The sequence below is a fragment of the Homo sapiens genome, chromosome 7 (genome assembly GCF_000001405.40).
Source record: "Homo sapiens chromosome 7, GRCh38.p14 Primary Assembly".
Lineage (NCBI taxonomy): Eukaryota > Metazoa > Chordata > Mammalia > Primates > Hominidae > Homo > Homo sapiens.
The window spans coordinates 61,611,363-61,624,712 of NC_000007.14; the positions used below are offsets into that span (position 1 = coordinate 61,611,363).

Genomic DNA, 13,350 nt, shown 5'->3' on the forward strand with positions numbered 1-13,350 from the left:
AACCACTTTGTGATGTGTGCATTCAACTCACACAGTTGAACCTTCCTTTTGATAGAGCAGTTTGGAAACACTCTTTTTGTAGAATGTGCATGTAGATATTTGTACCGAATGGAAGCCTTCATTTGAAATAGGAATATCTTCACCTAAAAACTAGATGGAAGCATTGTCAGAAAGTCCTTTGTGATGTGTGCATTCAACTCACAGAACTGAACCTTCCTTCAGACAGAGAAGTTTTGAAACACTCTTTTTGTAGAATCTGCATTTACATCTTTGGAGCGCTTTGAAGTCTTCGTTGGAAACGCAAATATCTTCACATAAAAACTAGACAGAGCCATTCTCAGAAAATTATTTGTGATGTGTGCATTCAACTCACAGAGTTGAACCATCTTTTTGATAGAGCAGTTTTGAAACAGTCTTTTTGTAGAATCTGGAGGCGCATATTTAGAGTGCTTTGAAGCCTTCCTTGGAAACGGGATTATCTTCACATAAAAACTAGACAGCTTTCTACATATGGCTAGCCAGTTTTCCCAGCACCATTTATTAAAGAGGGAATCCTTTCCCCATTGCTTGTTTTTCTCAGGTTTGTCAAAGATCAGATACTAGTAGATATGCGGCATTATTTCTGAGGGCTCTGTTCTGTTCCATTGATCTATATCTCTGTTTTGGTACCAGTACCATGCTGTTTTGGTTACTGGAGCCTTGTAGTATAGTTTGAAGTCAGGTAGTGTGATGCCTCCAGCTTTGTTCTTTTGGCTTAGGATTGACTTGGTGATGCGGGCTCTTTTTTGGTTCCATATGAACTTTAAAGTAGTTTTTTCCAATTCTGTGAAGAAAGGCATTGGTAGCTTGATGGGGATGGCACTGAATCTGCAAATTACCTTGGGCAGTATGGCCATTTTCACGATATTGATTCTTCCTACCCATGAGCATGGAATGTTCTTCCATTTGTTTGTATCCTCTTTTATTTCCTTGAGTAGTGGTTTGTAGTTCTCCTTGAAGAGGTCCTTCACATCCCTTGTAAGTTGGATTCCTAGGTATTTTATTCTCTTTGAAGCAATTGTGAATGGGAGTTCACTCATGATTTGGCTCTCTGTTTGTCTGTTGTTGGTGTATAAGAATGCTTGTGATTTTTGTACATTGATTTTGTATCCTGAGACTTTGCTGAAGTTGCTTATCGGCTTAAGGAGATTTTGGGCTGAGACAATGGGGTTTTCTAGATATACAATCATGTTGTCTGCAAACAGGGACAATTTGACTTCCTCTTTTCCTAATGGAATACCCTTTATTTCCTTCTCCTGACTAATTGCCCTGGCCAGAACACTATGTTGAATAGGAGAGGTGAGAGAGGGCATCCCTGTCTTGTGCCAGTTTCAAAGGGAATGCTTCCCGTTTTTGCCCATTCAGTACGATATTGGCGGTGGGTTTGTCATAGATAACTCTTATTATTTTGAAATACATCCCATCAATACCTAATTTATTAAGAGTTTTTAACATGAAGGGTTGTTGAATTTTGTCAAAGGGCTTTTCTGCATCTATTGAGATAATCATGTGGTTTTTTTCTTTGGTTCTGTTTATATGCTGGATTACATTTATTGATTTGCATATATTGAACCAGCCTTGCATCCCAGGGATGAAGCCCACTTGATCATGGTGGATAAGCTTTTTGATGTGCTGCTGCATTCTTTTTGCCAGTATTTTATTGAGGATTTTTGCATCAATGTTCATCAAGGTTATTGGTCTAAAATTCTCTTTTTTTGAAAGCTGAAACTGGATCCCTTCCTTACACCTTATACAAAAATCAATTCAAGATGGATTAAAGACTTAAACGCTAGACCTAAAACCATAAAAACCCTAGAAGAAAACCTTGACATTACCATTCAGGACACAGGCATAGGCAAGGACTTCATGTCTAAAACACCAAAAGCAATGGCAACAAAAGACAAAATTGACAAATGGGATCTAATTAAACTGAAGAGCTTGTGCACAGCCAAAGACACTATCATCAGAGTGAACATGCAACCTACAAAATGGGAGAAAATTTTCGCAACCTACTCATCTGACAAAGGGCTAATATCCAGAATTTACAATGAACTCAAACAAATTTACAAGAAAAAAATAAACAACCCCATCAAAAAGTGGGCAAAGGACGTGAACAGACACTTTTCAAAAGAAGACATTTATGCAGCCAAAAACACATGAAAAAATGCTCATCACCACTGGCCATCAGAGAAATGCAAATCAAAACCACAATCAGATACCATCTCACACCAGATAGAATGGCAATCGTTAAAAAGTCAGGAAACAACAGGTGCTGGAGAGGATGTGGAGAAATAGGAACACTTTTACACTGTTGGTGGGACTGTAAACTAGTTCAACCATTGTGGAAGTCAGTGTGGCGATTCCTCAGGGATCTAGAACTGGAAGTACCATTTGACCCAGCCATCCTATTACTGGGTATATACCCAAAGGACTATAAATCATGCTGCTATAAAGACATATGCACACGTATGTTTATTGCAGCATTATTCACAATAGCAAAGACTTGGAACCAACCCAAATGTCCAACAATGATAGATTGGATTAAGAAAATGTGGCACATATACACCATGGAATACTATGCAGCCATAAAAAATGATGAGTTCATGTCCTTTGTAGGGACATGGATGAAATTGGAAATCATCATTCTCAGTAAACTATTGCAAGAACAAAAAACCAAACACCGCATATTCTCTCTCATAGTTGGGAATTGAACAATGAAATCACATGGACACAGGAAGGGGAACTTCACACTCTGGGGACTGTTGTGGGGTGGGGGGAGGGGTGAGGGATAGCATTGGGAGATATATCTAATGCTAGATGACGAGTTGGTGGGTGCAGCGCATCAGCATGGCACATGTATACATATGTATCTAACCTGCACAATGTGCAAATGTACCCTAAAACTTAAAGTATAAAAAGAAAAAAGAAAAAAAAAAACTAGTCAGAATCATTCTGAGAAGCTTCTCTGTGATGTGTGTATTCAACTCACAGAGTTAAACATATCTTTTGATGGAGCAGTTCAGAATCTCTCTTTTTGTAGAATCTGCAAGTGGATATTTGGAGCTCTTTGCATCCTAGGGTTGAAAAGGAAATATCTTCACGTAAAAAGTACACATAATCATTCTCAGAAATTTCTTCATGATATGTGCATTCAACTCACAGAGTTGAACATATATTTTGATGGAGCAGTTTTGAATCTCTCTTTTTGTACAATCTGACAGTGGATATGTGGAGAGCTATGACGCCTACTGTGTATAATCAAATAGCTTCATACGAAAACTACACAGAAGCATTCTGAGAATCTTCTTTTTGATGTGTGCATTCATATCACAGACGTGAACCTTTCTTTTGATTGAGCCCATTTGAAATACACTTTTTGTAGTGTCTGCAGGTGGATATTTGTTGCCCTTTACACCCTATGGTGGAAAAGGAAATATCTTCAAATAAAAACTACACAGAAGCATTCAGAGAAACTCCTTTATGATGTATGCATTCACCTCACGGAGTTGAACCTAACTCTTGATTGAGCAGTCTTGAATGTCTTTTTTTGCAGAATCTGCAGGTGGCTATTTGGTGCCTTTTGAGGCCTGCTGTGGGACAGCAAATATCTTCACATAAAAACTACACAGAAGCATTCTGAGAAACTTCATTGTGATCTGTCCAATCAACTCACAGAGTGGAACCTATCTTTTGAATGAGCAGTTTTAAATCTCTCCTTTTACAGATTCTGCAAGTGGATGTTCGGAGAGCTTTGAGGCCTATTGTGGAAAAGGGAATATCTGAGAAGCATTCTGAGAAACTTCTTTGGGAGGTGTGCGTTCAACTCACAGAGATGAACTTATCTTCTCATTGAGCAGTTTTGAATCTTACTTCCTGTAGAATCTGCAAGAAGGTATTTGGAGCGCTTTGAGGCCAACCGTGGAAAAGCAAATATATTCAGGTAAAAACTACACAGAAGCATTCTTGGAAACTTCTTTGTGATGCGCGTATTCGTCTCACAGAGTTGAACCTTTCTTTTGATTGAGCAGTTTTGAAACACTCTTTTTGAAGAATCTGCAAGTGGATATTTGGAGCCTTTTGAGGCCTGTTGTGGAAAAGGAAATATCTTCACATAAAAGCTACACAGAGGCATTCTGAGAAACTTCTTGTGATGTGTGCATTCAACTCACAGAGTTAAACCTATCTTTTGATTGAGCAGTGAAAAACTCTTTTTTTGTAGATTGTGCAAGTGTATATTTGGAGCCCTTTGAGTCCTATTGTGGAAGGGAAATATCTTCACATAAAAACTACTCAGAAACATTCTGAGAAACTTCTTTGTGATGTGTGCATTCAACTCACTGATTTGAACCTATCTTTTGATTAAGCAGTTTAGAATCTCTTTTTGTGTAGAATCTGCATTTGGTATTTTTACCCCTTTGCACCCTCTGGTGAAAAAAGAAATATCTTCAAATAAAAACTACCCAGAAGCATTCTCAGAAACTTCTTGGTTGTGTGTGCTTTCAACTCACAGAGTTGAAACTGTCTTTTGAGAGATCAGTTTTTAATCTCTCTTTTTGCAGAATCTGCAAGTGGATGTTTGGAGAGCTATGAGGCCTATTGTGGAAATGGAAATATCTCTACATGAAAACCACAGAGAAGCATTCTGAGAAGCTTCTTTGTGAGCTGTGCATTCAACTCACCGAGTTGAATTTAGCTTCTAAAAGAGCACTTTTGAATCTCTGTTTTTGTAGTATCTGCAATTGGATATTTGGAACCCTTTGCACCCTGTAGTGGAAAAGGAAATATCTTCAAATAAAAACTACACAGAAGCATTCTCAGAAACTTCTTCGTGATGTCTGCATTCAACACACACTGTTGAACCTATCTTTTGATTGAGCAGTTTTGAATCTCTCTTGTGGAAACTGCAAGTGGATATTTGGAGTGATGTGAGGCCTACTGTGGAAAACCAAATACGTTCACATAAAACCTACAAAGAATCATTCTGTGAAACTTCGTTGTGATGTGTGCATTTAACTCATAGAGTTGAACCTATGTTTCGTTTAAGCAGTTTGGAATCTCTCTTTTTGCAGAATCTGCAAATGGATGTTGGGAGAGCTTTGAGGCCTAGAGTGGAAAAGTAAATATCTTCACATGAAAACTACAGAGAAGCATTCTGAGAAACGTCTTCATGAGGTGTGCATTCAACTCACAGATCTGAAGTTATCTTCTCATTGAGCAGTTTTGAAACTCATCATTTTTAGAATCTGCAAGTTGATATTTGGAGCCCTTTGCGCCCATTGGTGGAAAAGGAAATATCTTCAAATAAAAACTACATAGAAACATTCTGAGAAGCTTCTTGGTGATGTGTGCCTTCATCTCACAGGGTTGAACCTATCTTATGATTGAGCAGTTTTGAAACACTCTTTTTGCAGAATCTGCAAGTGGATATTTGGAGCCCTTTGCCGCCTTTGGTGTAAAAGGAAATATCTTCAAATAAAAACTACTGAGAAGCATTCTGAGAAACTTCTTTGTGATGTGTGCATTCACCTCACAGAGTTGAACCTATCTTTTGATTGAGCAGTTTAGAATCTCTTTTTCTAGAATCTGCAAGTGGATATTTGTAGCGCTGTGAGGCCTACTGGGTAAAATCAAATGTGTTCACAGAAAAACTACACAGCGTTCTCAGAAACGTCTTTGTGATGTGTGGATTCAACTCACAGAGTTGGACCTATCTTTTGATAGAGCAGATTTGAATCTCTCTTTTTGCAGAATCTGCAATTGGATGTTTGGAGAGCTTTTATGCCTCTTGTGGAAAAGGAAATATCTTCACATAAAAACTACACAGAAGCACTTTGAGAAACTTCTTTGAGAGGTGTGCATTCAATTCATAGAGTTGAACTTATCTTGTCAGTTAGCAGTATTCCATCTCTCTTTGTGTAGATTCTGCAAGTGGATATTTGGAGCCCTTTGCACCCTGTGGTGGAAAAGAAATTATCTTCAAATAAAAACTACACAGAAGCATTGAGAGAAACTCCTTTGTGATGTATGCATTCAACTCACAGAGTTGAACATATATTTTCAATGAGCAGTTTTGAATCTCTCTTTTTGTAGAATCTGCATCTGGTTATTTGGAGCCCTTTGAGGCCTACTGTGGAAAAGCAAATATTTTCAAATAAAAACTACACAGAAGCATTCAGAGAAACTTCTTTGTGATGTATGCATAGAACTTACAGAGTTGAACCTATCTTTTGATTGAGCAGTTTTGAATCTCTCTTTTTGCAGAATCTGCAGGTGGATATTTGGAGCCCTTTGATGGCTACTGTGGAAAAGCAAATATCTTCAAATAAAAACTACACAGTAGCATTGTGTGAAACTTCTTGGGGATGTGTGCGTTCATCTCACAGAGTTGAAACTATATTTTGATTAGGCAGTTTTGAATCTGTCTCTTTGCAGAATCTGCAAGTGCATATTAGGAGCCCTTTGCGGTCTATGGTGGAAAAGGAAATATCTTCAAATAAAAACTACACAGAAGAATTATCAGAAACTTCTTCATGATGTGTGCATTCAACTCACAGAGTTGAACCTATGCTTTGATTCAGCAGTTTTGAATCTCTCTTTTTGGAGAATCTGCAAGTGGGCATTTAGAGCTCTTTGAGGCTTACTGTGGAAAAGCAAATATTTTCACATAAAAACTACAAAGAAGCATTCTGAGGAACTTCTTTTTGATGTGTGCATTCAACTCACAGAGTTGAATCTATACTTTGATTGAGCAGTTTTGAATCTCTCTTTTTAGAGAATCTCCAAGTGGACATTTGGAGCACTTTGATGCCTATTGTGGAAAAGGAAATATCTTCACATAAAAAGTACTCAGAAGCATTCTGAGAAACTTCTTTGTGATGTGTGCATTCAACTCACAGTGTCCAGCCTCTCGTGATTGAGCAGTTTTGAATCTCTCTTTTTGTAGAATCTGCAAGTGGATATTTGGAGCCCTTTGTGGCCTATGGTGGAAAGGAAATATCTTCCAATTAAAACTACACAGATGCATTCTGAGAAACTTCTCCATGATGTGTGCATTGAACTCACAGCGTCAAACCTATCTTACGATTGAGCAGTTTTGACACTCTTTTTGTAGAATCTGCAGGTGGATATTTGGCGTGCCTTGAGGCCTATTGTGGAAAAGGAAATATCTTCATATAAAAACTACACAGAAGCATTCTGAGAAACTTCTTTTTGATGTGTGCATTCAATTCACAGAGTTGAATCTTTCTTTTGATTGAACAGTTTTGAAACACTCTTTTTGTACAATCTGCAAGTGGATAATTGGAGCCCTTTGAGGCCTATTGTGGAAAAGGAAATATCTTCACATAAAAACTACTCAGAAGCATGCTGAGAAACTTCTTTGTGATGTGTGCATTCAACTCACAGAGTTGAACCTATCTTTTGATTGAGCAGTTTAGAATCTCTCTGTTTGTAGAATCTGCAAGTAGGTATTTGGAGCCGTTTGTGCCCTGTAGTGGAAAAGGAAATATCTTCAAATAAAAACTACACAGAAGCATTCTCAGAAACTTCTTCATGATGTGTGCATTCACCTCACAGAGTTGAACCTATCTTTTGATTGAGCAGTTTTGAATCTCTCTTTTTGTAGAATCTGCTAGTGGTTATTTGGAGCTCATTGCACCCTATGGTGGAAATGGAAATATCTTCAAATAAAAACTACACGGAAGCATTCTGAGAAACTTCTTTGAGATATGTGCATTCAACTCACAGAGGTGAACCTATCTTTTGATTGAGCAGTTTTCAATCTCTCTTTTTGCAGAATGTGCAAGTGGATATTTGGAGCCCTTTGTGGCTTGTGGTCGAAAAGGAAATATTTTCAAATAAAAACTACACAGAAACATTCTGAGAAACTTCTTTGTGATGTATGCATTCATCTCACAGGGTTGAACCTATCTTACGGTTGAGCAGTTTCGAAACACTCTTTTTCTAGAATCTACATGTGGATATTTGGAGCACTTTGAGGCCTACCGTGGAAAAGCCAATAACTTCAGATAAATACTACACAGAAGCATTCTGAGAAACTTCGTTGTGATGTGTGCATTCATCTCACAGAGTTGAACCTTTCTTTTGATGAGCAGTTTTGAAACACTTTTCGTACAATCTGCAAGTGGATATTTGGAGCCTTTTGAGGCCTTTTGTGGAAAAGGAAATATCTTCACATAAAAACTACACAGAAACATTCTGAGAAACTTCTTTGTCATGTGTGCATTCAATTCACAGAGTTGAATCTTTCTTTTGATTGAACAGTTTTGAAACACTTTTTTTGTACAATCTGCAAGTGGATAATTGGAGCCATTTGAGGTCTATTGTGGAAAAGAAAATACCTTCAATTAAAAACTACTCAGAAGCATTCTGAGAAACTTCTTTGTTATGTGTGCAGTCAACTCACAGAGTTGAACCTATCTTTTTATTGTACAGTTTTGAAACTCTCTTTTTGTAGAATCTGCAAGTGGATATTTAAAGTGCTGTGAGGCCTACTGTGCAAAATATGTTCACATAAAAACTACACAGAAGCATTCTGAGAAACTTCTTTTTGATGTGTGCATTCAACTCACAGAGTTGAACCTATCTTCTGATTGAGCAGTTTGGAATCTCTCTTTTTGCAGAATCTGCAAGTGGATGTTAGGAGAGCTTTTACACCTATTGTGGAAAAGGAAATATCTTCACATAAAAACTACACAGAAGAATTCTGAAAAAATTTTGTGTGGTGTGTATTCAACTCACGGAATTGAACATTTCTTTTGATTGAACAGTTTTGAAATACTTTTTGTTGAATCTTCAAGTGGATATTTGGAGTCCTTTGAGGCCTATTGTGGAGAAGGAATTATCTTTACATAAAAACTACACAGAAGCATTCTGAGAAACTTCTTTATGATTTGTATATTCAACTTTCAGGGTTGAACCTATCTTTTGATTGAGCAGTTTAGTATCTCTCTTTTTGTAGAATCTGCAAGTGGATATTTGGAGCTCTTTGCTCCCTGTGGTGGAAAAGGGAATATCTTCAAATAAAACCTACACAGAAGCATTCTCAGAAATTTCTTCATGATGTGTGCCTTCAACTCACAGAATTGAACCTATGCTTTGATTGAGCAGTTTGAATCTCTCTTGCTGTAGATTCTGCAAGTGGATATTTGGAGCACTTTGAGGCCTATAGCTGAAAAGGAAATGTCTTCACATAAAAACTAGACAGAAGCATTCTGAGAAACTTCTTTGGGATATGTGCATTCAACTCACAGCGTTGAACCTATCTTATGATTGAGTAGTTTTGAAACACTTTTTTTGTAGAATCTGCAGGTGGATATTTGGAGTGCCTTGAGGTCTATTGTGGAAAAGGTAATATCTTCACATAAAAACTATACAGAAACATGCTGAGAAACTACTTTGTGATGTGTGCATTCATCTCACAGAGTTGAACCTTTTTTTTATTGAGCACTTTTGAAACACTGTTTTTGAAGAATCTACAGGTGGATATTTGGAGCACTTTGAGGCCTACTGTGGAAAAGAAAATATCTTCACATAAATAATACACAGAAGCGTTTTGAGAAACTACTTCATGATGTGCACATTCATCTCACAGAGTTGAACATTTCTTATGATTGAGCAGACTGGAAACATTCTTTTTGTAGAATCTGCAAGTGGTTATTTGGAGTGCTTTGAGTCCTAATGTGGAAAAGGAAATATCTTCACATAAAAACTACTCAGAAGAATTCAGAGAAACTTCTTTTTGATGTGTGCATTCACCTCACATAGTTGATCCTTTCTTTTGATTGAGCAGGCTTGAAGCACTCTTTTTCCTTTTTTATTTCATTTTTTATTATTTTTTTATTCTTTTTTTATTTTTTTATTATTATACTTTAAGTTTTAGGGTACATGTGCACAATGTGCATGTTAGTTACATATGTAGCACTCTATTGATAGAACCCAGAAGTGGATATTTGGAGGACTTTGAGGCCTATTTTGGAAAAGAAATATCATCACCTAAAAACTACACAGAAATATTCTGAGATACTTCTTTGTTATGTGTGCATTAAACTCACAGAACTGAAGGTATGTTTTGGTTGAGCAGTTTGGAGTCTCTCTTTTTGGACAATCTGAAAGTGGACATTTGGAGCGCTTTGAGGCCTACTGTGGAAAAGCAAATATCTTCACATAAAAACTACACAGAAGCATTCTGAGGAACTTCTCTGTGATGTGTGCATTCAACTCACAGAGTCCAACCTATCTTTTGATTGAGCAGTTTTGAATCTCTCTTTTTGAAGAATCTGCAAGTGGATATTTTGAGCCCTATGCGGCCTATGGTGGAAAAAGAAATATCTTCAAATAAAAACTAAACAGAAGCATTCTGAGAAACTTCTTTGTGATATTTGCATTCATCTCACAGCGTTGAACGTATCTTATGATTGAGCAGTTTTGTAACACTCTTTTTGTAGAATCTGCAAGTGGATGTTTGGAGTGCCTTGAGGCCTATTGTGGAAAAGGAAATATCTTCACATAAAAACTACATGGAAGCATTCTGAGAAACTTCTTTGTGATGTGTGCAATCATCTCACAGAGTTGATCTTTTCTTTTGATTGAACAGTTTTGAAACACTGTTTCTGTAAAATCTGCAAGTGGATATTTGGAGCGCTTTGAGGCCTACTGTGGAAAAGCAAATATATTCACATGAAAACTACACAGAAGCATTCTGAGAAACTTCGATGTGAGAGGTGCATTCAACTCACAGAGTCGAACCTATCTTTTGATTGAGCAGTTTTGAATCTCCCTTTTGGCAGAATCTGCAAGTGGATATTAGTAGAGCTTTGAGGCCTACTGTGGAAAATGAAATATCTTCACACAAAAACCACACAGAAGAATTCTGAGAAGCTTCTTTGTGATGTGTGCATTCAACTCAGATAGTGGAACCTATCTTTTGATTGGGCTGTTTTGAATCTCTCTTTTTGTAGTATCTGCAAGTGGATATTTGGAGCCCTTTGTGGCCTATGGAGGAAAAGGAAATATCTTCAAATAAAAACTACAGAAAAGCATTCTGAGAAACTTCTTTGTGATGTGTGCATTCATCACACTGGATAGAACCTCTTATGATTGAGCAGTTTGGAAACACTCTTTTTATAGAATCTGCAAGTGTATATTTGGAGGGCTTTGAAGCCGTTTGTGGAAAAGGAAATATCTTCACATAAAACTACACAGAAGCATTCTGAGAAAGTTGTTTGTGATATGGGCACTCATCTCACAGAGTTGATCCTTTCTTTTGATTGAGCAGTTTTGAAACACTTTTTGAAGAATCTGGAAGTGGATGTTTGGAGGGCTTTGAGTCCTCTTTTGGAAAAGGAAATATCTTCACATAAAAACTACACAGAAGGATTCTGAGAAACTTCTTTGTTATGTGTGCATTCAACTCACAGTGTTGAACCCATGCTTTGAATGAGCAGTTTTTAATCTCTCTTTTTGGAGAATCTGCAAGTGGAAATTTGGAGAGCTTTGAGGCCTACTGTGGAAAAGCAAATATCTTCACATAAAAACTACACAGAAGCATTCGGAGAAACTTCTTTTTGATGTGTGCATTCATCTCACATAGTTGAAACTCTCTTTTATTTGAATAGTTTGGAAACACTCTTTTTGCAGTATCTGCAAGGGGACATTTGGCACACTTTGCTGCCAATGGTAGAAAAGGTAATATCTTCACATACATACTAGACGGAAGCATTCTGAGAAACTTCTTTGTGATGTGTGCGTTCATCTCACCGAGTTGAACCTCTCTTTTGATTGAGCAGTTTGGAAACACTCTTTTTGTAGAATCTGCTAGTGGACATTTGGAGCGCTCTGGAGCCTATGGTAGAAAAGGCAAAATCTTCAACTAAAATCTAGTAAGAAGGAATCTGAGAAACTTCTTTGTGATGTGTACATTCATCTCACAGAGTTAAACCTTTCTCTTGATTGAGCAGTTTTGAACTCTCTTTTTGTAGAATATGCAAGTGGACATTTGGAGTGCTTTAAGGCCTAAGGTGGAAAAGGAAACGTCTTCGCATAAAAACTAGACAGAATAATTCGAGAAACTACTTTGTTATGTGTGCATTCATCTCACAGAGTTGAAACTTTCTTTTGATTGAACAGTTTGGAAGCACTGTTTTTGTAGAATCTGCAAGTGAACATTTGGAGCTCTTTGTGGCCTATGGCGGCAAAGGAAATATCTTCACATAAAATCTAGACAGAAGCAATCTGAGAAACTTCTTTGTGATGTGTGCATTCATCTCACAGAGATAAACCTTTCTTTAGATTGAGCAGTTTTGAAATTCTCTTTTTGTATAATCTGCAAGTGGACATTTTGACTGATTTGAGGCCTATGGTGGAAAAGGAAATATCTTCACATAAACATTAGACAGAAGAATTCTGAGAAACTTCTTTGTGAGGTGTACGTTCATCTCACCGAGTTGAACTTTTCTTTGGACAGAGCCGTTTGGAAACACTCTTTTTGAAGAAAATGCAAGTAGACATTTGGAGTGCTTTGTGGCTTATGGTAGAAAACGAAATACCTTCACATAAAATCTAGACAGAAGCAATCTGAGAAACTTCTTTGTGATGTGTGCAATCATCTCACAGAGTTAAACCTTTCTATTAATTGAGCAGTTTTGAAACTCTCTTTTTGTAGAATCTGCAAGTGGATATTTGGAGGGCTTTGAGGCCTGTGGTGGAAAAGGAAATATCTTCTCATAAAAACTAGACAGAAGAATTCTGAGAAATTTCTTTGTGATGTGTGCTTTCCTCTCACAGAGTTCAACATTCCTTTTGATTGAGAAGTTTGGAAACACTCTTTTTGTAGAATCAGCAAGTTGACATTTGGAGAGCTTCGCGGCCTGTGGTAGAAAAGGAACTATCTTCACATAAAATCTAGACAGAAGCAATCTGAGAAATTTCTTTGTGGTGTGTGCATTCCTCTCATTGAGTTAAACCTTTCTTTTGATTGAGCAATATTGAAGCTCACATTTTGTAGAATCTGCAATTGGACATTTGGAGTGCTTTGAGGAGTATGGTGGATAAGGAATAACTTCACACAAAAACTAGACAGAAGAATTCTGAGAAACTACTTCTTGATGTGTGCGTTCATCTCACAGAGGTGAATATTTCCTTGGATTGTGCAGTTTGGAAACACTCTTCTTGTAGAATCTACATGTGGACATTTGGAGCGCTTTGTGGAAGATTGTACAAAGGGAAATATCTTCACATAAAAACTAGGTAGAAGCATGCTGAGAACCTTCTTTTTGATGTGTGTCTTCATCC

At 37.3% G+C, this 13,350-nt stretch overlaps 1 annotated feature.

Moving 5' to 3' along the window:
* Window positions 6,731-7,255: an enhancer, noted in NCBI's record as "OCT4-NANOG hESC enhancer chr7:61639146-61639670 (GRCh37/hg19 assembly coordinates)". NCBI's record gives its function as "activates a minimal SCP1, AML or CMV promoter by ChIP-STARR-seq in naive H9 embryonic stem cells {active_cell/tissue: H9 hESC(naive)}" and the evidence as "EXISTENCE:reporter gene assay evidence [ECO:0000049][PMID:30033119]".